At 41.1% G+C, this 24,068-nt stretch overlaps 1 protein-coding gene and 1 pseudogene across 8 annotated transcripts in view, besides 1 other annotated feature; one reads left to right on the top strand and one right to left on the bottom strand.

Moving 5' to 3' along the window:
* On the top strand, positions 43-19,912 carry ECI2 (enoyl-CoA delta isomerase 2). 4 transcript variants are annotated; one of them, NR_028588.2, is made up of 11 exons: positions 43-107; positions 1,917-2,069; positions 4,753-4,851; positions 5,058-5,246; positions 5,369-5,439; positions 7,787-7,856; positions 9,381-9,483; positions 10,248-10,368; positions 16,343-16,432; positions 18,167-18,310; positions 19,589-19,912. NR_028588.2 is itself a non-coding variant. In NM_006117.3 (10 exons), exons 2-10 carry the CDS (start codon positions 1,947-1,949, stop codon positions 19,742-19,744), a joined length of 1,095 nt encoding a protein of 364 aa, NP_006108.2. In that variant the 5' UTR covers positions 43-107; positions 1,917-1,946; the 3' UTR covers positions 19,745-19,912. The 4 variants fall into 4 exon arrangements, 3 of the variants coding, with proteins under 3 accessions (NP_006108.2, NP_996667.2, NP_001159482.1); NM_006117.3 differs by lacking the exon at positions 5,369-5,439; NM_206836.3 differs by lacking the exon at positions 5,369-5,439 and having other exon boundaries at positions 1,907-2,069.
* TEX56P (testis expressed 56, pseudogene) overlaps positions 4,853-24,068 on the bottom strand; it is a 51,557-nt pseudogene continuing 32,341 nt past the window's right edge. For 2 of the 4 annotated variants that reach the window (NR_172627.1, NR_172628.1), the window contains 3 exons: positions 13,572-13,669; positions 5,257-5,476; positions 4,853-5,133 (listed from right to left, as the gene is read on the bottom strand). The product of NR_172627.1 is annotated as a testis expressed 56, pseudogene, transcript variant 1 (transcript). Of the gene's footprint in view, positions 5,134-5,256; positions 5,477-9,498; positions 10,659-13,571; positions 13,670-19,954; positions 20,212-24,068 lie in introns of all 4 variants that reach the window. The other 2 variants (NR_104463.3, NR_104464.3) reach the window with 2 other exon arrangements.
* Positions 9,369-9,663: an enhancer, noted in NCBI's record as "tiled region #9692; HepG2 Activating DNase unmatched - State 25:Art, and K562 Activating DNase unmatched - State 14:Gen5'". NCBI's record gives its function as "activates a minimal TATA promoter and a strong SV40 promoter by Sharpr-MPRA in HepG2 cells, with weaker activity in K562 cells {active_cell/tissue: HepG2 | K562}" and the evidence as "EXISTENCE:reporter gene assay evidence [ECO:0000049][PMID:27701403]".

The following is a 24,068-nucleotide window of genomic DNA, read 5'->3' as shown; positions in this document are numbered from 1 at the left end:
CGCCCCCGAGACCCGGCCCCACCCCCGAGCCCCCGCAGCCCTAGAGCCGCCCAAGGGATGGCGATGGCGTACTTGGCTTGGAGACTGGCGCGGCGTTCGTGTCCGAGGTAAGCTTGGAGTCCCGGCCGTTCGGCCCATGGTCGCCCGCAGGATACCGCTGTCCAGGCGAAGGTCGCCGCCGTTGGAAGACCCTCCTTCCCTATTGTCTAGGTGGCAACAGGATTTTGCTTTGCTGGTTTTCCGGTGAGGTAGTGCTAAAAAGTGACGACCTCACGCGCGCCCTCCTGCACCGCTGGGCCCGGAGTGGTCAGGATGGGCGCGTCGGGAGGTCAGGGCTATGGTTCCCTGTCAGCAGTCCCCAAGGTCTCCGCCTGCCTCCGCGCACGCTCCCATCCTCCTGGGGCCGGACTCCGGGCGGGTGAGCCGCCCCAGCTGAGCACCCGGGCCTGCACTTCCCAGCCGGGCTGCTTCTGGGGTGCAAAGCGTCGCTTGCTAAAAGCGAGGTAAACGCAAGCCGTTATCACTCGTGTGGACTTAACACTCTGCTTCTTGGAGAACACGTATGCTATAAAGTGAAATGGCCGGGTACAGAGTAACGGCTAAGAAGCACGCTGCACCTCCCTGGGGTCCCGGGAACCCGCACGAATCTGTGCATAGGGAACAAAACCGAAACACGGTGGTGGCCTTGAAGTGGTAGAATTATGAGTGATTTTCCCGACTTTATGTATTTTCTTAAATGGTCGTGTTTTTGCTATTTGTTTTTAAAACTCACGCTTTATTTAAAAATAAATTTGTTCCACATTTTGTGGAAACTTGTACATTTCGGCTTTCTGTGGATATTTTAAATTTTTCTTTCGTTTTCTACGTGGAATTTGCCATATAAGATGCAGTTTTTCCCTTTACAGAAAATCATTTTAATGTAAAACTTACTCTAGGCTGATCTTACTGAATCAGTTACTAATAGTCCAAAGTTTGAACCTAGAGTTCATTGCACCATTTTCGAGTTACATAATTGTGTTTGTGTGTTAGGTTTGGGCTTTGTAACCTGTATTATTTTAATCATCTTTTTTGCCATTAACTCTATTATTCAGTGTCATCGTCGTGAACTCCATTTTTAGCTTGTGGCCTGAGTCCTGTGCATTCAAGTTTGCCACCCCACCCCCGCTCACTATGTGTGCTTAAAAACGTGCTGATCACCCCCGCGGTGGTTGCTGTTTCTGCTCTGTTCCTGGCTGGCTGGTTAAACATACCCATAGAAAGGGGCACGCCTGCTGAGCCCCCTTCACTGACTCCCTTCCACTGCAGGTAGATTCCCTCCCATCTGCTGAGAAGGCTGTGGCTCTATCTGGAATGCCAGCAACTGCTCGTGTGTTCTTTTGAATATTTCTTGTATGTTCACATCCATTCTCCCCTCCTTCCACCTGTGTGTATGTTGGAACACCAGCTTCGCCAGCAAAGAGGCAAGAATTGACCTGATATAGCTTATGGCTTATCAGTGAGTGCAGAGGCTGTTTCAGGACTTTGGGACACTTCACTAAATTCTGTGCACTTTAGCCTTTTGGTTTCCTGCTGTCCACTGTCTTGCATGCACTTCACTTCTTGCCTTTGGCAAAATTTACATGGTCATTCCTGTTCTGGCTGCTTTTATCTTTAGTTGCTTACAGATACCTCCCTGGATGGTTACTTTTCCTTTTATTTAAAGTTACTACTGTTAGCTTCTGTATTGACTTATTATCTTGGAATCCTTACAGCCAATTATTTGCAGCCAGTTTGCTGAGGCAAGTATAAAGAAAATATCTATAGACAAACATGGCATTTTGTTATGTATAGGCTGGGAACAATTAGAAATCAGGCTGCAGAAATGTGAGGGTTGGGAACAAATAGAAATCAGTCTGCCTAATTGTAGTTCTCTGCAGGTCACTAGTTTCCCGGTAGTTCAGCTGCACATGAATAGAACAGCAATGAGAGCCAGTCAGAAGGACTTTGAAAATTCAATGAATCAAGTGAAACTCTTGAAAAAGGATCCAGGAAACGAAGTGAAGCTAAAACTCTACGCGCTATATAAGCAGGTAAATGCCTACGGTCGAACGTTATTTAAAGAATTTTGGGCAAATGACTTCTTAAATAAATACACTGTGTGTTTACTAAAATGTGGCCTTAACATTTTGGTTTGTCTTGCTCCCTCTTCTCTGAAGAGTGTGTGTGTGTATATATATATATGCCAGTTTTTTATATTAGACCTTGAAATACTATTAAGGCACAAAGTGCCTCAGTGTCACACGAGTAAAAGAGACTTACGAGATATAATATTCACATTTGTAGACCTTACTTAGCTCTTGATTAGAATAAATCAACTGAAAAAGGTATTTTTAAGACAATTGGGGAAGTTTTGAGTAAGGACAGAGTGTTAGAAGATACCTAGAAATCATCGTTAATGGTGTCAAGGTTATATAAGAAAATGTTGATATTTTTAAGAAAAGTGTACTAAGGATATAGGGGTGAAATAGCATGGATAGTTGAAGTTCTCTAAGCACAAAAAGAAAAGGATAGATGAGGCCAGGCATGGTGGCTCACGCCTGTAATCCCAGCACTTTGGGAGGCTGAGGCGGGCAGATCCCTTAAGGTCAGGAGTTTGAGACCAGCCTGGCCAACATGGTGAAACCTCATCTCTACTAAAAACTCAAAAATGAGCTGGACTGGTGGCGCACACCTGTAATCCCAGCTACTTGGGAAGCTGAGGCAGGAGAATCGTTTGAACCTGTGAGGTGCAGGTTGCAATGAGCCAAGATTGCGCCACTGCACTCCAGCCTGAGTGACAGAGCGAGACTCTGTCCAAAAACGAAAGAAAATAAAGAGAGAGAGAGATGAAGCAAGTAAGGCAGTTTGATAATTGTTGAACCTGGATGATGGGTATTGGGAATTCATTATAGTATTCTACTTTGGTATGTTTGGAAATTTTTATAACAAAATTTAAAAACTAAAGCTCTTAAGTTTCAATGCCAAAGACTTCCCTGGCATGTCTGCCTCTCTGGGCTCCTGTGTTATCTATTTTTCTGTCCTATGATGGGTATGAGCTTCTCTTTCATATGGGTGTGTATAGTAAAAAATTTAACCTTGCCCCAGAAGAGGTGTGGCTTTGCCCTCAGCTTCTGGGAAGTGAATCTCTAATGACTGGTAGGAGTCTTTATTTGCCTGGATTGTCTTAACGATGTGATTTAGGGTGGGGGCTTCAGGTTATACAGTCATGCACAGGTGATGGAGCCCTGTTAAAAACTCTGGACACCGAGACTGGATGAGCTGAGCATCTCTGGTTGGCAGGACTCCCTGTGTACTGTCACATCAATTCTGGTAGAGGTGCCCTATGCTGACTCCATGGGGAAAGGACAATGGAAACTCCACATTTGCTACTGCCCCAGACTCCATCCTGTGTGTGTCCTCCCTTGGATGATTCTAATCTCTATCCTTTCCCTTAATAAACTATTAATTGTGCGTTTAACAGCTTGCAGTGAGTTCTGGGTGTCTTTCTAGCAAATTGTTGCACTTGAGGGTGGTCCTGGGTGCCCTCCAGCCTTGCAATTGGTGTTAGCATTGAGGACAGTCAGGAGACAAAGGCAAGCCCTTATCCTGTGGACTGTGTTCCCTCTAACTTCTAGGTTGGCCAACTCTTGCCAGATGACACTATCTCTGTCTAAAGAAATTCATAACCTCCTTTACTGCCTTTTTCTTTTTTCTTTTTTCTTTTGTTTTTATTTTGTTTTTTTGAGACAGAGTTTTGCTCTGTCACGCAGGGTAGAGTGCAGCGGCACCATCTCAGCTCACTGCAACCTCTGCCTCCCAGGTTCAGGCAATCCTTCTGCCTCAGCCTCCCAAGCAGCTGGAATTACAGGAACCTGCCACCATGCCTGGCTAATTTTTGTATTTTTAGTAGAGATGGGGTTTTACCATATTGGTCAGGCTGGTCTCGAACTCCTGACCTCAGGTGATCCACCCACCTCAGCCTCCCAAAGTGCTGAGATTACAGGTGTGAGCCACCACACCTGGCTTGTTTTTCAAAGACTCTTTCTTCTTTCCTCTCTAACTGTATTATAAAATTTTAAAAATTTTAACTGGAATTTTAAATTGCTATTTCTGAAAAGTAGCTGAGTGGGATATTTTATTCATCTCAAAACACCCACTCCACCTAGCCTCAAAAATAAAATTTAATTCCTTTTTGCTTTTTACTTACATGTTCTTCAGTTAGGTTTCCTAAGAACCAGTAGCTCTGATAGCCCCACCCTAGCCCCTCAGCTACAGTTTTGTTACCCAGGTACCAAAAGTCCACCACTGAATTAGTGGTGTTTTTTTTTGTACCTTCAGATGGGCTTTTGGAATATGCTGTGGGTTTTCAAGTATTTGTTGACTAGTTCCTTGTAAAGATTGTTTGCTTGAATATTTTGATTGTTTGTGGAAAATGTGATTACCAATATAAAACTAATGAACCATTAGATTTTTTTAGAAAATACTTCCCCAAAACCTTTATCCTGCATTATTTTCATAGACAGGCAGTTATAATTTATTTCCAGTCTTTTTTCTGTTTGTGCATTTTTGGCAACAACATCAAAGAGACTGGAGGGGAAAATTCAGATCAATTTACATACCCTGTGAAAGGATTTGGGGGAGGCATTCATGTACTTACAGATTTTATGGATCTTAAATATTTAGGGGTCTAGTTTACATGGACATTTGAACATATTGCCCCTCTCCTTTTCACAGGCCACTGAAGGACCTTGTAACATGCCCAAACCAGGTGTATTTGACTTGATCAACAAGGCCAAATGGGACGCATGGAATGCCCTTGGCAGCCTGCCCAAGGTGAGTTTACTAGTTACTGTGCTTTTATTTGCTGTACTTCTAAAGAAGTTTGTGCTTCTCATTAAGCCATTGTAAATGGAGTCTTCAAGATCTTGATGTGCTTCTATTCTTTCTTCATTGCAAGGTGTTAGTTATTAGTATAGTAACTTTCTCAAAGTGCTTATTCATTGACCATGGGCTGAGGTTGTTTGTCATCGTCCGTTCAGGAAGCTGCCAGGCAGAACTATGTGGATTTGGTGTCCAGTTTGAGTCCTTCATTGGAATCCTCTAGTCAGGTGGAGCCTGGAACAGACAGGAAATCAACTGGGTTTGAAACTCTGGTGGTGACCTCCGAAGATGGCATCACAAAGATCATGTTCAACCGGCCCAAAAAGAAAAATGCCATAAACACTGAGGTAATGTTACCTGCCCACGGAGTTTGTCCTGTTTTACTTTCTTCTTCTATGTGTTTCACACAAAAGCTGTAGAGTTTCAGCATCATTCCTATTTTAAGATATCTCTTGTTTGATTTGTGCAGGAAGGTTGGTAATTGTGGCTACTTCATACAACAGAGTTGAGCATTCATTGTTTAGAGTTTGTGAATTTCAGGTAGGTTCTGATATACCCAGAAGGCACTGTGATTTTCCTAATAATGGAAGCAGAAATAAATGAATATAAATGAAACATGTTGCTATGAGAGAATTTGCATAGAAGCCATCTAAGGTTGGTGTAGACTGCTCCCAGAAGTATCTTCATGTCACTTAGACATGAAAGTAAGTCTTTCTGCTTGCACGGGGGCTTCATTTTTTATAAGTATAGGGAGAAAGGAGAGAAGGACTTCATCTTAAACAAATTATCACCCAGCTCCGCTTTAAAGTAGCTGCTTCACTCGGTAACGTTAGTCTTTGAATCTCTCACTGAACTAGAATGATAATAAAATAACTACCTTAGCCCCTTCTTCTTGAAAAAAATTATAGGGAATTAATTGGATGCTTGGTGCTCAACTGGGACTAAAATTTCAGAGGACTATGACCATTGGGTCAATAACCTCCATTGTGGCAGAAAGAGCATACTCACTTTAAAATCATCTTCAGAATTTCATGAAGTAGGATATGTGTCATTCAACTAATAAAGCATTTAATGCTCAAACTTTATTTCCACTTTCCCCTGACTCATTTCTCTACAACTATAATAATAATAGCTACTCTGTACAGAGTGTCTAATGAGTGCCAGCACTCTCCACACAGAAGTTTATTTAATTCTCACAGGGAGCCTACTGTTATCATTACTTAACAATAAAATAATTAGATTAAGAAGTAACTTACTCAAGTTCACATAACAAATAAGCAGCAAAACCTAAATTGAAACCCTGATAGCCAGTCGTGGTGGCTCACCCCTGTAATCCCAGCACTTTGGGAGGCCAAGGTGGGCAGATCACTTGAGGTCAGGAGTTCAAGACCAGCCTGGCCAACATGGTGAAACTCCATCTCTACTAAAGATACAAAAAATTAGCTGGGCATGGTGGTGCGCACCTATAGTCCCAGCTACTCAGGAGGCTGGGGCAGGAGAATCTTTTGAACCGGGGAGGTGGAGGTTGAGCCAAGATCATGCTATTGCACTCTAGCCTGGGCCTCGCAATGAGACTCCATCTCAAAAAAGAAGGAAGGAAGGAAGGGAGGAAGGGAGGGAGGGAGGGAGAAACCCTGATAATCCATCTCTTAATCCTGGTCTCACCAGTTGGAAGGAAGGAACCCTGATAATCCATCTCCTAATCCTGGTCTCACCAGTCGCCCTGCTGTGTGGTGTTATCATAACTATAATAATGATAGAATGAGTTCCTTATCACTTCCCTCAGGAGAAATGCTTAAACGCTTATTCATGTACAGTCATCCCTTGGTATCCGATGGGGATTGGTTCCAGGACCTCCGTGTGGACAACAAAATCCGCGGAACCTGAAGTCCCCCATAAAAAGGCATAATATTTGCATATAACCTCTATATACACTCCCATATACTTTAAATCATCTCTAGAGTTATTATAATACTGAATACAATGTAAATGCTATATTAAATTGTTGTTATACTGTATTGTTTAGGGACTAATGATAAGAGAAAAAGCCTGTACATGTTCAGTATAGATACAGAATTCTTTTCCAGGTATTTTTGATCTGTGATTGGTTGTCCATGGATGTGGAACCCGTGGATACGGAGGGCAGGCTGTTTTATGTAAAGTCCATGTGTCTTTTCCAGTATATTTGTATCTATAAGTATCAGCCCTCTTCCTCATTTCTTTCCCACACTGAAATCTCATCTAAGGTTGAAATTGCACCTGTTTTAAATGCATTAAAAGCTATATAGCTGCTTGTCCAAGATTTTCAGAAATGTTGCTGATTTAAAATTTTGAGCCACCTTCCTTGAATACCATTACAGTGTCTTGAAAATTCCAGCCTTTTGGCAGTCACTAACACTTCCCAGACTGCCAGGGGCTTCCTTGAGGTCACAACAGAGACGTTGCTTTGTAGAAAGTTTTCTCTGACCACCTCCCACTCTGCCCACACTAGATAAGCCTCAGCACCTCCTCTGAGTTCCCTGCTACTTTGTACTTTCCAACCCCCTCCTCATTTGAACATGTTAATTCCAAATTGAACATGTTAAGTCCTCTGTTAATTCCAAAAGCTCAAGGACTATTTCTTTCTTGGTCCCTTTTGGAAAAAAAGTGGTTTATAGCCTGCAGCTCCTGCCATAGCACCAGGTACATAATATGCACCAGGTAACTGTGAAAGGAATAAAAATTCCTTCAGTTATGTTGGTCCACCTTTTTGGTTATAAAATACAACCAAAATAAATGTTAGGCACTTTGCTGAGAGCAAGCTTGCAGCCTGACATTTGTTGAGTCCATTGATTGATGATTCCTGTGTTCAGAGTTCTTTTCTTTTCCTTGTCTTCCCATTACACAGATGTATCATGAAATTATGCGTGCACTTAAAGCTGCCAGCAAGGATGACTCAATCATCACTGTTTTAACAGGTAAGACATTTTCTCAGGCATCCTAATTAAATTTCTATTTTGAGGGGCCTCTTAATAGATAGGAAATTGAGTTAAAAAGCTCTAAGACCTGGAGGCCGAGGCAGGTGGCTCCCGAGGTCAGGAGTTTGAGATGAGCCTGATTAACATGGTGAAACCCCATCTCTGCTAAAAATATAAAAATTAGCCGGGCATGGTGGCACACACCTGTAATCCCAGCTACTCAGGAGGCTGAGGCAGGAGAATCACTTGAACCTGGAAGGCAAAGTTTGCAGTGACCCGAGGTCGCGCCACTGCACTCCAGCTTGGGTAACAGAGTGAGACTCTGTCTCAAAAAAAAAAAAAAAAAAAAAAAAAAAAGGCTCTAAGATCTTTTCCAGTACTGTCATACTCTGATTTATAAATATACAAAAAATGTTTAAAAAAACACAGATACCCACTCCTTCGCAATTACCCAACATCAATTAAGACACATATGTCCACCAAAAGACTTTTACAGGAGCAGACATGGTAACCTGATTTATAACGGCCAAAACCAGAAAACAAATGTTCAAAAACACATGGATGAATAAACAAATTGTTGACTATTTGTACAATGGAATACTCAGCTATAAAATGGAATAAATGATATACACAAGAATGTGGATGCATCTTTAAAACACAGTTCAGCAAAATAAAGACAGGAGTGTACATACTGTATGAGTCCATTTGTAGAAAGTTCTACAGTAGACAAAAGTTCTTCTCTGTGGAAATTGAAGTCAGAAAGTGATTGCCTTGGAGCAGGTGGGGTGGGATAGCTAGGAAGGAGCCTACGGGAAACTTTTGGGGTGATGGAGATGTTCTGTATCTTGTTTTGGATGGTGATCTTGTGGGTATTTAAAATTATTAAAACTCATCTAAATGAACATTTAAAAACTGGTTGTTTTATTGTATATAAATTGTACTTTAATTAAACACACACACTCAGAAACATACTTTCAGTGGCTCTTAGAATAAAGAAAAAACTTCCTCATGGGATCTACAAAGCACTGTCAGGTCTATTCTGCCAGTCCTCATCCTGCACCGACTTCCCCCTGGCTTTCCCTGAGTCAGCTACAGTGGCTCTTACTTCATCTACAGTGGGGATAACCTCTCCAAAGAGCCTTTGCACAGGCTGTTCCTTTGTGTAAACTGTTCTTCCCAGCCCTCTTTTTCTAGCCCACCTGGCCTCTCCTTCAGATCTCAATTCAGTTGTCGCTTCCTTAGGAAAGTTCTTTCCTGAACTCCCTGATTAGACCAACCCTCCTGGTACATACCCTCATTTCATGACGCACCACTCCTCTATTTCAACAGTAGCATTAGCTACATTTATCGGTGTGTTTTTATAGATCAGTGTCCAGCGTACTCACTAGTTTGTAAGTTAGGGCAGGAACCATTGCTCGTTCTCCAATGTATTTCCCTTGCCTAACCATAGAGTTTGGCATGCAGTAGATACTCAAGAATTATAGGATGATTGAATGAGGGATCTGTTGATTTTCTTACTTATAGGAAATGGTGACTATTACAGTAGTGGGAATGATCTGACTAACTTCACTGATATTCCCCCTGGTGGAGTAGAGGAGAAAGCTAAAAATAATGCCGTTTTACTGAGGTAAGAGTTACTGACCTTTGTCTGATCCCAGAGGGCCCGTTCTTAGTCATCAAAGTGGTATTTAGTTGAGCAAAAGTGCAATATCTGCTTCTCTGTGTCAGTGCAGTTAATTGTGACTTTGGACAAGCATATTTCTCTAAACTGCCTCCATCCATAGGTGGGCATTCATTCTTTCTCTTTGACCTCTGTTACCTGTTCATCCTGCTGGTCTCATGAGATTTGACTGGAAAACATAAAAGTGAGCTATAGTTGTAAACAAAATTATCTTGCACTGAGGCAGAGGAATTTAGCAAATTCTCATCCAGCCAGAGGAATGGGAGATTTCCATGAACGCTGAAGGTAGGAGACTCGGAGGAGTCTTGTAAACACAGGAGGAGGTCATGAAGGCTTTTCTCTTTATTCCTGCCAAATCTGTAATTCCCACTTGTTGTGATATTGCAGCATGTGCTCAGTCACCCAACCTAATCTCTAAGACTGCGGCTGGTTTACAGCCCTGAACTCACTGTCCAGAATACAAGATTCAAACCAGGGTTGACCCATAGGTCTCACTGGTTGGTCTTCCATCCACTGCCATTCAGACGGATGCCCTGGATGAATCTGGTGCGGAAGACCAGGGAAGTGGCAGGACAAGGAGGCACTGCTGGTGGTGGCTGTGGAAACACCCAGCCTGACAGAAGGCTTTATCTCAGAGTCAGACTGTCTTGCCCATGCTTTAGTCATGCTGCTTTGGCACATTTAATGATTTTGTGTTTCCATTTCTGTAGGGAATTTGTGGGCTGTTTTATAGATTTTCCTAAGCCTCTGATTGCAGTGGTCAATGGTCCAGCTGTGGGCATCTCCGTCACCCTCCTTGGGCTATTCGATGCCGTGTATGCATCTGACAGGGTAAGTCAGCTCCTAGAAAGCAAGAGGTCAGGCAAGCAGCGCGAGATGAGAGCCTTTGAATCCTCCTTCAGCGTTGCCAGTCATAAGCAGGTTACATGTTGTTTGTGGTAGAATTAACTGAATTTAGATTTTTCCCAAAGCATTAGGCTGATTTGACTGATTTTATTTTTCCTTCATTATTAACTTGCATTTTGTTGTGAACATTGTTCCAACTCTGACTGTTCCGGATTCTAATCAAATTCCACAATAGGTATACAGCTTTCATGTTATTCTGAAAGATTCAGGAGACACTTGAAAATTTGTTATGGGAGGGAGGAATAGCATCTTTGCAGGTTGTGCAAGGGATTAGTTGATCCTTTTTACTGAGTAAATGGATTTAGAATTTTAGAAGGAGAAGGACCTGTGAGCATTATCTACTGTCACTCCCTCCTTTGCAGATAAGAAAACTGAAGCTCTGAGAAGTTCCTTGCCCAGAACACAATTCAGCCTTGTGTTCACCATTGCATTATACAGATTTTAGTTTTTATTTTTACTACAGTAGTAATATATATGTCATAGTGGAAAATAAAATTTTGAAAGATATGAAAAAGTACCAAGAAAAGCTACAAGGTAAAAATCACTCCTTATCTTGCCACCTAGAGATAACCAGTCCTAACGTTTGGGTTATTAACTTATCTTGTTTAACCAGTCCCTGACTGCTGGAACCCTAGGCTGTTTCCAATTTTTATCATTACAAGCACCTAATAACCACCTTTAGGGTATCAGATTGTCCAGTGACTTATGCTTATGTGATGGTAAACTGTGCTGATGATTGCAGCCTTCTAGGGAGCATATGGTTTTTACCACTGAAGAGATTTCTAGTTTTGTTCAGAGGTATTTTCCCCACTGATAGACAGGACCATATAATAGCATCCTTAATTCTTCGAATTTTCTTTTGCTGGATTCCATTGAACCAGATTGGATGTATTGACAGACCTAATTCTTATGAATAATTTTCCCACAAAATTAGCAAATGAGATTCTAGGTGCCAGGCTGCCCAGCCTTTGTAGGTAGAGGTTTCTGTTCAAAGGCAGAAATCAATGTCTTTGTTCACAGTCTGTGTATTAGATGACTGATTAGTCATTGACCTGCTTTTAACAGGGACTGGGTCAATGGTTCCTGACCTAAAATTGGGGATCTCATTCTTTAATACTTGGAGGGCAAATATTGTATTTGAATCTTGTTCTGATTCTCCCACTGAATTGAAAATTACTTTCAATATACATCATCCTTATTTTTTTTTTTTTAAGAGATGGGAGTCTCACTCTGTCACCCAAGCTGGAATGCAGTGGCACGATCTTGGCTCACTGCAGCCACCACCTCCCGGGTTCAAGCGATTCTCCCACTCAGCCTCCTGAGTAGTACAGGTGCGTGCCACCACATCGAGCTAATTTTTTTGTATTTTTAGTAGAGACAGGGTTTCACTGTGTCGGCCAGGCTGGTCTCGAACTCCTGACCTCAAGTGATTCGCCTGCGTTGGCCTCCTGAAGTGCTGGGAGTACAGGTGTGAGCCACTGAGCCTGGCCTGCATCAACCTTTTAAAAATGTTGATGACTTCCATCTTATGATATAAATTGTAATAAATGTTGAAATCAGAAAACATATATACATAATACATATAAAACATATCTATTCTATATATATTATAATATATGTATATTGCATATATATATTAAATGCTAAAAAATTTGGCCAAAAGTAAAATTTATTTGTCAAATAGTGTCTTCTGATAAAAGTTTACCCAACCAAACAAATCAAGCATCATTTAAAATAAAGGAAATTGAGGTGGGCAGATCACCTGAGGTCAGGAGTTCAAGACCAGCCTGGCCAACATGGTGAAACACCATCTCTACTAAAAATATAAAAATTAGCCGGGCTTGGTGGCGGGTGTCTGTAATCCCAGCTACATTGGAGGCTGAGGCAGGAGAATTGCTTGAACCCAGGAGGTAGAGGTTGCAGTGAGCCGAGATCGTACCACTGCACTCCAGCCTAGGTGACAGAGCGAGACTCTGTCTCAAAAAAATATATAAGTAAAAAATAAATAAAATAAAGGAAATATGCTAAAGGAAAAGGCTGTAGAAAAAATTGTTTTATAAGATTTACCATTATTGGCTTCAAGAATAAATATCATATTAAATGATGGGTTAATATTTAACCCATATAACCAAAATATTAATCAGTACATTTAATCTATTTTATACTGTGGGCAATGGTTAATAATGCCTATTAGCTCTGTCAGCAAATGATACATTTCCTGTATGAGTTAAGAAAAAGGTAGAAATCATAACAATAATAAATCTTTGAGTGGTCACTGTTTAGGCACTCTATTCACATGCATTATGTATATTATAAATATACGCATACACACACACATATTCACGTAATGTACAGAGTAGCCCGATGAAAGAAGGACTTGGCCAGGCACAGTGGCTCACGCCTCTAATCCTGGCACTTTGGGAGGCCAGGGCAAGTGGATCACCTGAGGTCGGGAGTTCAAGACCAGCCTGGCCAATGTGGTGAAACCCCTTCTCTACTAAAAATACAAAAATTAGCCAGGTGTGGTGGCAGGCGCCTGTAGTCCCAGCTACTTGGTAGGCTGAGGCAAGAGTAAGGCTGGGCAACAGAGTGAGACCCTGTCTATAAAAACAAACATTCTCCTCCAATGTGGCAAAAATAAGTTTTACAATCTAGGCTGGGCATGGTGGCTCATGCCTGTAATCTTAGCACTTTGGGAGGCCAAGGCAGGTGGATCACTTGAGGTCAGGAATTCGAGACCAGCCTGGCCAACATGGTGAAGCCCCGTCTCTACTAAAAATACAAAAATGAGCTGGGTGTGGTGGTGCACGCCTATAATCCCAACTGCTCGGGAGGCTGAGGCAGGAGAATCGCTTGAACCCGGGAGGCGGAGGTTGCAGCGAGTTGAGATTGCGCCACTGCACTCAAGGCTGGGCAACCGAGCAAGACTCCGTCTCAAAAAAAAAAAAAAGCAAAGAAGGATTGGTTCCCATTTTACAAATGAGAAAACTGTGGTACAGAGAGGGTAAGAAACTTTCCCAACGTCCCTAAGTAGTCTGACGCCAGAGCCTAAACCCTTAACTCCACCTGCTGCTCTCTTTCTGAAAATCAGCATTTTAAATGCTGCTTACTGGCAACTTTGCATGTACCTGTTTGTGTCCCTTTAGCTGTTGTTGGCAGGTTTCTCAGTTTCCTGCTTGTATTCCTTAGGCTGTGTCTTCTGGGTACATTTTTTTGAATAAGTTTTCTTTTGGATAAAAAAAGAAGATACATGACATTAACAGAAACTTTTAAAAATATTGTGATTATTTTTATGTATATGCTGCATATGTTATAGATTTATATCTTCTAACAGTTATATAGTAAAAACAACAGCGTGTCTGATTATAGGAAATGAAATCTAAATATTCTTTTACATATTATGAATTTTAAATTAACATTCTTTCATAATTTATTCATTAAGAAACACAAAAATATGTCTTAAATGTAAAAAAAAAAAAAACTAAAAATGACTATATACTAAATAACCAATATTGAATTAATTCCAGTAGTTAAAGCCAACCAAAAAAACCACTGGGGCAAAATCAAGACAAATGACAGATTGAGGAAACAATTTTTCAACTCATGTAACAAAAGCTGATCTCTCCACGATACTTTTTAAAGTTTGTCTATAAAGCGATAGATCCACAAGCTAAAATAAAAATGGGCAATGGTGAGGAATGAATAGGTCAGACAAAATGAAATATAAAGGGCTATTAAAACCATATGAGAGAAACCACTGAGAAAATGAAAAGATAAGCCATAGACCAGGAGAAAAGATTTGCCTGACGCTCTAATAAAAGACTTGCAATCTGAATGTGTATCTTACAACTATATAATAGGAAGGTAAACAGCCTAACTTAAAAAAATAGTGGAGAAAATATCTTAACAGTTGCTTCACCAAAGAAAATATACGTATGTCTAATAAGTACATGGTAAGAGACTTAATACCATTAATGGTTAGGGACATGTAAATTAAAACCACAGTGAGACCCCACTACATACATACTAGCATGGTTAAAATGAAAAAGACTTAATAGCTAGGTTTAGTGAGGATGTGGAGCAATTGGAACTTTCATACATTGCTGGTGGGAATGTCAAATGGTACAACCACTCTAGAAAACAGTCTAGCAGCTTCTGAGCTAAATATACATTTACCACACAGACCAGCCATACCACTTAGGTATTTACCTATGATAATTTAAAAGAGATTCACCCAGTGACCTGTACACAAGTGTTCCTAACTGCCTTTTTGTTAACATTATCTGAACATTTTTATTTTTAAATTTTTTTTCAGTTTCATTGAGGTATACTTGACAAATAAGAATTGTACAGTCAGGTGCTGCATAACAACATTTTAGTCAATGGCAGACTGCATGTAAAACGCTGGTCTCCTAAGATTATAACACCATATCTTACTATACCTTTTCTTTTTTTTTTTTCACTCTGTCATCCAGGCTGGAGTACAGTGGCATGATCTCGGCTCACTGCAGCCTCCTCCTCCCGGGTTCAAGCAATTCTTGTGCCTCAGCCTCCCGAGTAGCTGGGACTCCAGGTGCACACCACCACACCAGGCTAATTTTTGTATTTTTAGTAGAGATGGGGTTTCACTACGTTGGCCAGGCTGGTCTCGAACTGCTGACCTCAGGTGATTTGCCCACCTCTGCCTCCCAAAGTGTTGGGATTACAGGCATGAGCCACCACACCCGGCCTACCTTTTCTATGTTTGATATATTTAGATACACAAATGCCATTTGTTATAACTGCCTAGAGTATTAAGTATAGTAACATGCTGTCCAAGTTGGTAGCCTGGAAGCAGTAGGGATTACCACATAGCTAGGTGTGCAGTAGGCTGTGGCATCCAAGTATATGTAAGTATACTCCATGATATTGGCACAATGACAAAATTGCCTAATTATGCATTTCTCAGAACATATCCCCATTGTTAAGCAACACACGACTAGATATATTTAAGGTGTTCAACTTGTTTTTCATAGCAGCCTTCTTCATAGTAGCCTTTCATACGTTGCTAGTGGCAGTGTCAAATGGTACAACCATTTGAATGCTAGAAACAACACCAATGGCATTAACTGGTGAATGATAAACATATTATTGTGCATCCATACAAAGGAATACTACTCAGAAATAGCGAGGAACAAACTACTAATACATACAACAGCATGGTGACTCTCAGAAGTCAGACTCAAAATGCTACAGAATGTAGGATTCCACTTATACAGCATTCTATAAAAGTCAAAACTGTAGGGACAGAAAACAGATTAGCAGTTGCTTGGGGGTGGGAGGGAGGGACTGACTACAGAAGGGCCCCCGGAACCTTTCAGGGTGGCTGAAATGTTCCGCATGTCAGTAGTGGTGGTGGCTATGTAACTCTCTATTTGTTCAAACTCATCCAACTATACACTTTTAAAGGGTGAATTGTGTGTGCATATTAACCACATAATCTTAATTTTTAAATAAATATTATTAAGTATTGTGAAGTTATAAGCAAATCGTGATTTTTAAAAATAACACATGAAGCCAGGCATGGTGGCTCACGCCTGTGATCCTAGCACTTTGGGAGGCCGAGGCAGGTGGATCACCTGAGGTAAGAAGTTTGAAACCAACCTGGCCAACAGGGCGAAACCCCGTCTCTACGAAAAATACAAAAATTAGCCAGGCATGGCAGCGCATGCCTGTAATCGTAGCTGCTGTGGAGGCTGAGGCAGGAGAATCGCTTGAACCCAAGGGGTGGAGGTTGCAGTGAGCCGAGATCGCGCCACTTCACTGCAGCCTGGGCAAAAGAGCGAAACCCTTTGTCTCAAAAAAAAAAAAAAAAATCACACATGAAAAGATGGTTTTCTTTTCTCTCCTGCCTCTGCAGGCAACATTTCATACACCATTTAGTCACCTAGGCCAAAGTCCGGAAGGATGCTCCTCTTACACTTTTCCGAAGATAATGAGCCCAGCCAAGGTAACTTTTGGAATGTTTAAATATAAAATTTTATGAGTCATCTCAAGAAAGAAGGAAGAGTAATCTCATATACTCTCCCTTCTTTCCCTTGGTAATATGGACAAAAGAGAAGCTAATGATTTGCTTTTCAACTCTTTAAGAGTTTTACCAATGGAGGAATCAGGCTATGGGAAGTATCTGCTATGCAGGAAAATTAGAAATTCTCTCTGCAGTTCCCAGAACTGGGATCCTCCTCTTCAGCTGGCTGCTTAGTGCTAGCTGCACTGCAAGCAGCACAGCACCTCAGCCTTGCAGCTGTGTGGCATTAGTCACTTGAAGGACCAGGGCTGTGCCAGCCTCCCTTGGTCCCCTGAGTTTGGAGGCCACTCGGTTCCTTTATGGATGACCAGTATCTCCTAAGGAGAGACATGATGACGTCTTCACTTTCAGAGTTACAGTAAGTACCAACAGATGGGAGGTTTTGTGGGGGCTCACGGCTGCCAGAGCCACCCCCAATCACAGCAGCCCTTCCATCAGCCTGCTCACGGGTGTATTCTCTCCCAGGCTGGTTAAGTGGCTGCTCAGGTCTTTCACTGTGTTTCCTAGTTGCCCACGCCCTGTGGCATGACTCGAAGGGGATTGTGACAAGACCAGAAGCTGAGCTATAGGAAAAGGCTTAGCAAATATTGCTGCAAGATCTCAAAGTGGGGCAGTGGGAATTGAGCTTGTTTTCATTGCCTATTAGGATTTTGTTAAAAACTTATATATGTATGTTTTTACTCTCATTAGGCTATCACATACCCTGAATTGAACTTGGGAAGGGGGCAGAACTGACTCTACAAGTCTTAGAGCATTTGGCTATTAGAGCATTCCTTGGCTGGGTGCAGTGGCTCACACCTGTAATCCCAGCACTTTGGGAGGCCAAGGCTGGTGGATCACTTGAGATCAGGAGTTCAAGACCAGCCGGGCCAACATAGTGAAATGCTGTCTCTACTAAAAATACAAAAATTAGCCGGGGCATGGTGGCGGGCACCTGTAATCCCAGCTACTCAAGAGGCTGAGGCAGGAGAATCATTTGAACCCAGGAGGTGGAGGTTACAGTGAGCCAAGATCGTGCCTCTGCACTCCAGCCTGGGCAGCACAGTGAGACTCTGTCTCAAAAAAAAGAAGAGCATTCCTTTTCTGGAAAAGAAATTGCAAATGGAGAGAGGATATCCACTTAATGTCCTCAGTTTTTTCGGAAGCTAACTATAAGTCTTTGCTTTCCTTTAGTCAAATAGAACTAATTTGAGTACCAATGCAGGTAAAGAAAACTCTCAGAGCCAGATCACTGGGTAGTTTCCAGAGAATGGAATTTTGAAAGTTTCTAAAGGTTGACCCAATGACCGTAATTTTTCTCTCCTTTTTTCCTCTGTAAAATAATAGTTTATAGTGTATCAAATGGAAAATCATAGCTGCTGTGGGTTATAGAATCAAGCATCTGCTTCAGATCATTTCTGCCCTGGACCCCCTGATCTTGCCCCTCCAACAACGATACACAGAAGCAGCAGCCCTTATAGACCTTCCCAGGAGCCTGTCTCAGCACACAGTTTGCAAACCGTTGCCTATTGAGGTCATCAGCTTCTCCCTTACTGAGAAATACCAGCAACCTCAAAAGACCATGAGTACATCTCTCTAAGCCTCCTGAAAGCAGTTAACTGAAGCCTTGTTTTATTAAGTTAGTATCTTAACCTTGCTTCTTGCTTTTCATTTCAGGCAACAGAGATGCTTATTTTTGGAAAGAAGTTAACAGCGGGAGAGGCATGTGCTCAAGGACTTGTTACTGAAGTTTTCCCTGATAGCACTTTTCAGAAAGAAGTCTGGACCAGGCTGAAGGCATTTGCAAAGCTTCCCCCAAATGTTAGTATTCATCTTTTACTTCTAAGAACCTTGAAAATGATTTCCTAAGGGAAAAATTTATTTGCCTTCAGAGAATAAGTCATAAAAAGCACAAGACACATCTTTAGTTACCTCTAAGCACATCTAAATTTGGAATTAAAAAATAACTGTAGTAATGTTGGAAATGCAGTACTGATTTTTACAAAACTTATCAAATAGACCTTCCATTTCTGTGTGGGGACAGAGGGCAATTCTGTATGGGGATTACTTGAGCAGGATGCTAGGCAGTATTTGCTGAGCACTTTTACTTTGGAATCCAGGTGAGAAGCATGGATTAGCTACTTTGAGAGTCTTATTGTATAGCACTTTTGTTTTTGTATGTGGTAGTGAGTGACTGATTGCTTTTATATTCTTGCTATTCAAAATGTAGTCCTGGAGCCAGAAGCTTGAGCAGCTACCTGAGGCTTTTTGGAAATGTATTATCACAGGCCTGCCCCACACCTACTGAAGCGATTTATATGCACACTGAATTTTGAGAAGCACTGTCTTATATTACACATGCAGCTTAAGATTTAACAGCATTAGGGCCGAGAACAGTGGCTCACACCTGTAGTCTCAGTACTTTGGGAGGCCAAGAAGGGCAGATCACCTGAGGTCAGGAGTTCAAGAACAGCCTGGCCAACATGGCAAAACCACATCTCTATTTAAAAAATACAAAAATTAGCCAGGCGTGGTGGTGGGCGCCTGTAATCCCAGCTACTCTGGATGCTGAGGCAGGGAGAATTGCTTGAACCCGGGAGGCAGAGGTTGCAATGAGCCAAGATTGCACCACTGCACTCCAGCCTGGGCGACAGAGTGAGACTATGTCTCAGAAAAAAAAAAAAGATTTAACAGGATTTATTAAATGAACATGGGAGAAACAAGAACCAGAATCATAGAATAATCTCACTCCTATTAGATTAACTCTTTTTTTCTTTTTGAGACAGAGTCTCACTTGTCACCCAGGCTGGAGTGCAATGGTGCGATCTCAGCTCACTGCAACCTCCGCCTCCCGGGTTCAAGCAATTCTCTTGACTCAGCCTCCTGAGTAGCTGGGATCACAGGCATGTACCACCACAACCAGCTAATTTTTGTATTTTTAGTAGAGATGGGGTTTCACCATGTTGGCCAGGCTGGTCTTGAACTCCTGACCTCAACTGATCTGCCCGCCTCGGCCTCCCCAAGTGCTGGGATTACAGGCATGAGTCCACGTCCAGCCTAGGTCAACTCTTAACCTTATTGTTGGTTTTGTTTTTCCAGGCCTTGAGAATTTCAAAAGAGGTAATCAGGAAAAGAGAGAGAGAAAAACTACACGCTGTTAATGCTGAAGAATGCAATGTCCTTCAGGGAAGATGGCTATCAGATGAATGCACAAATGCTGTGGTGAACTTCTTATCCAGAAAATCAAAACTGTGATGACCACTACAGCAGAGTAAAGCATGTCCAAGGAAGGATGTGCTGTTACCTCTGATTTCCAGTACTGGAACTAAATAAGCTTCATTGTGCCTTTTGTAGTGCTAGAATATCAATTACAATGATGATATTTCACTACAGCTCTGATGAATAAAAAGTTTTGTAAAACAAGCTTAAGAATTCACACAGGTGTTTGGTAGTAGAGAGTCTTACGTCTTTTGACATGAATCGTTGTTGCCAGGAACACTGGAACATGGTGCCTGGGGTCCTACTTTGAAAAGCACTCACAGCATTACAGGCTGAAGTCATGTCTTTGAATGCCACTATAGCACTTTGACGTCCACAAACAGTGGCTGACTGAATTGGGCCAAATGCTGACAGCCTACAGATCACTGACTTGAGGTCTTCAGTGGGTTGCATGTTCTTTTTCAGCCATGTAGCAAGGGAGCAAAATGGAAGGAATAGTATTACTAGAAAACAAATAAGAATCAAGAATAAGAATAAGAACCCAAATAAGAATCTTAGTTGGGTTTTTTTGCACAATTTAATAAAGAGGCATGAAGGGAAAACTGGGTCATTTCATTGGAAAGCAATGCTCTGTATGAGTAATTGTTTTCTTATTTGTTAGAGTCCCATTCTTGTTTAATGTGGTACTTTATGAAAGGCATCCCTGCAAGCTGCCTTGATTGTCCTTGTAACACCCTGTTTTGATTTCATAGCTATCACTTGACAAGGACTGAGGGTGTAATTCCAAGGGCTACAGAAAAGGATGGGATATTTTGCTTTTCTTAGTCTTCCTTTTGACCTTTCCTTTAAGGTCAAAGTTAGCTAACTCACCAAATCTCTTAACTTTTTAGTTCTAAATTTTTTATTCCAGTAATTGTAATCCAAGATGTTCAGTTTTATAGAAAATATAAGAATAGAAATAAGCATTCGTTTCAATTGAGCAGTTACTAGTGCTTAATGCCCATTATCATATTTTATCCACCAAAAACAATGCCAAAAATTAAAAATGAGGTAGGTCTGTTGCTACTACCCATTTTCAAGTAGGCATCCCGAGGCATGGAGATTAAACTAGCTTCTCCAGAGTCAAACTCCCAGTAAATGTCAAAATGAAGATAAAAATCTAGGCAGAGTTCTCATCCCACAATGGCAGCACAAGCCAACTACTGCCCATTCCTCCACAAATTACAACTAAAATCTCTAGAAGAAATACGAAAAAGAACTACTTGAGCATGCTGAAATTAATCAAAAGCAGGTGGATTGTTAAAGGGTGTCAAAATACAGAGAAGCAACTGCACAAGGATAAGTTTCCCAGATTATGAGAAATAAACACAATTGCTGGAATCTAACTCCGGAGCATGGTATTAGAAGTAAGGCAAAACTGCAGTTACTTTTGCACCAACCTAATACTTCTGCCTCAGAGGCACACCCCTATTGTGGGGTGGTGCTGCGGTGACCATGGAGTGGCCAGCCAAATAGAAGTTGAGGAAAACAAAAACACTTTGAAAAGGAAAAGGGCCCTCTGGGGGCTAAAGAGTGAAAGCAAGAAGAGACTCCCAGAGCCAAGAGAAAGAAGCTCTAATTCTGTGTATGAACCTAGATAAGTCTGATTCATAAGTGAGACAGACTCAAACCAGCATAGCAAAGGCTTTGCGAAGTGTACTGGGATTTTAACCACCACCCACAGAAGATCAAGACAGCTTGTAGTCTGAACCTAACCAGATTGATTTCTTGCTAAAACAAAAATGGCATTTTCCAGATGATTGTAACATGATCCACAAAAACATAACTTCCATCCAATGCCACAATATAGTAAATACAGTAAATATCCAGGATCCATATGACATAATATTGGATCCAACCATACAATAGAATATCTAAGGCCCTGAGAAGAAGCTGTCATATGGATCCAGGATCCATATGACATAATATTTACAAAATGATGTGACATAAAAAGAAACATGGAAATGTGAACACTTGGACAGAAGGAGCAGAGTGAAACTTGTTGCAACATCCTGGCCTGTCTGTGGGCTGCCTACAGAAATGGTGTCTGTAATGTCCAACTCAGGTATCAGACTGGAGACAGCAAATAGTTTTGATTTCAGGCTGGAAGCCACAGAAGGCAGTGGTGAGCAATGCAGCACATGAAAACTACACAGGGATTGCTGCCCTGTGGACCTCTGAGGGCAGGAGATTACAGAGGAATACAATAGAATATCTAAGGCCCTAAGAAAAAGCTGCAGTGAGACTGTTTAGGAAATGAAGACCTTTAAAATCACCTTTGATGGGGACAGGGAGCACACACACATTCACAGGAAGGAAGCATGCCTAGAAAAGACCTGAGAAGACCTGGACTAATCTCAGATTAGTGAAGACCTCATGGACTTACAAATTAGTGAGGTCTTACATGCCAGTCTGCAAAGACTGGGAGAGTGGCCATATTTTTTTTAAATACCCAATTTTCAAAAAAAGATCATAAGGCATGCAAAGAACCAGGGAAAGATGGCCCACTGAAATGAACAAAACACATCTCCAGAAACAGTTCTGGAAGAAACACAGGCATCAGGCTTACTAGACTTTAAAACAACTGTCAGCCAGGTGCGATGGCTCATGCCTATAATCCCAGCACTTTGGGAGGCCAAGGCAGTCAGATCACTTGAGGCCAGGAGTTGACACTAGCCTGGCCAACATAGTGAAACCCCATCTCTACTAAAAATACAAAAAAATTAGCAGAGCATGGTGCTGCACACCTGTAATCCCAGCTACTCAGAAGGCTGAGGCATGAGAATCACTGGAACCCAGGAGGCAGAGGTTGCAGTGAGCCAAGATCACATGACTGCGCTTCAGCCTGGGCAACAGAGTGAGAGTCTGTCTCAAAACAACAACAAAAAAAAACCACAAATGTCAAATATACTCGCAGAACTGTAGAAAAACATGAACAAAGAACAAAGGAAAGTCAAGAAAACATATGAACAAAATGAGAACATCAACAAAGAAATTATAAAAAAAAATATTGAGCTGAAAAGTACAATAACTAATTTGAAAATTTTATTAGAGGAGTTCAACAGCAAACTCAAATAAGTAGAAGAAAGAATAAGCAAATTTGAAAACAGCTCATTTGAAATTATTGAATTTGAGAAGCATACAGAAGAAAAAATAAAGTGAACAGAGGCTTAGGGACTTATGAGATGCCATCACACTGACCAATATATGCATAATGGGAGTCCCAGAAGGAGGTGAGAAAAATGAGGAGAGAGACTATTTGAATAAATAATAGCTGAAAACCTGCCAAATATGAGGAAAGACATGGATATACAAATCCAAGCTCAATGGTCTCCAAGTAGGACAAACCTGAAGAGACCCATACGAAGACACATAATCAAAGCTGACAAAAGTGCAAGATAAAGAGAATCTTGGAAGGCATCAAGAGAAAAGTGACTATATACAAGAGATCTGCGATAAGACTATCCGAGTATTATTTCAGCAAGAACCTTGGAGACTAGAGGCAGTGGGGTGATATATTTAAAGTGCTGAAAATTTTAAAAAAAACTGTCAACTGAGAGTTCTATACCTGGTAAAATGTTTCTTCAAAAATGAGGGAGAAATTAAGACATTCCCATAAAAACAAAAGCTGAGGGAATTTATTATTACTACACTTGCCCTACAAGAAATGTTAAAGGAAGTCCTCCAGTTTGAAATGAAATAATGCTAGATAGTAACTGGAAGACAGATGAAAATATAAAGTTCTCCAGTAAAGGTAAATATATGAACAAATATAAAAACAGTATTAATGTAATTTTGGTTTATAACTCCACTTTTGATTTTCTACAGGATTTAAGAGACAATTGCATAAAATAATTATGAATATATGTTAATGAATATATAATATTAAACCGTATAATTTGTGACATCAATAACATAAGGGGAGAAAAGCTTTAAGGAAGTAGAGTTTTTATATGCAATTGAAGTTAAGTTGGTATCAATTAAGATAGATCATCATAACTCTAGGATGTTATATGTAGTGCACATAGTAAACACCAAGAAAATATACGCAAGCAGAAGTGAGAATCAAAATATGCCATTACAACAACTTTAAACATGAAGGAAGGCAGTAATCAAGGAAATGAGGGAGAAAAAAACCTGTAAGGGACAGAGAAAACAACAAAATGGCAAAACTAATTGCTTTCTTTTCAGCAATTTATATGTAATTGGATTGAAAACATATCAAAAATCATAAGTTGGCAGAGTGGGTATAAAACCAGGATCAACTATATACTGTTTAAAAGAGTCTCACTTTAGATCTAAGGATATGAGTAGGGTGAAA

Source organism: Homo sapiens, chromosome 6 (assembly GCF_000001405.40).
Source record: "Homo sapiens chromosome 6, GRCh38.p14 Primary Assembly".
NCBI lineage: Eukaryota > Metazoa > Chordata > Mammalia > Primates > Hominidae > Homo > Homo sapiens.
Note: the sequence above shows the minus strand (reverse complement) of the source record. Positions and strands in the feature narration are given on the sequence as shown.

Bases quoted from the DNA above. Each gene is read 5' to 3' on its own strand.
- ECI2 (NM_206836.3), top strand. From the start codon at position 58: ATGGCGATGGCGTACTTGGCTTGGAGACTGGCGCGGCGTTCGTGTCCG. The intron at 108-1,906 runs GTAAGCTTGGAG...GCCTAATTGTAG, and splicing joins GCGCGGCGTTCGTGTCCGAG to TTCTCTGCAGGTCACTAGTT. The intron at 2,070-4,752 runs GTAAATGCCTAC...TCCTTTTCACAG, and splicing joins TCTACGCGCTATATAAGCAG to GCCACTGAAGGACCTTGTAA.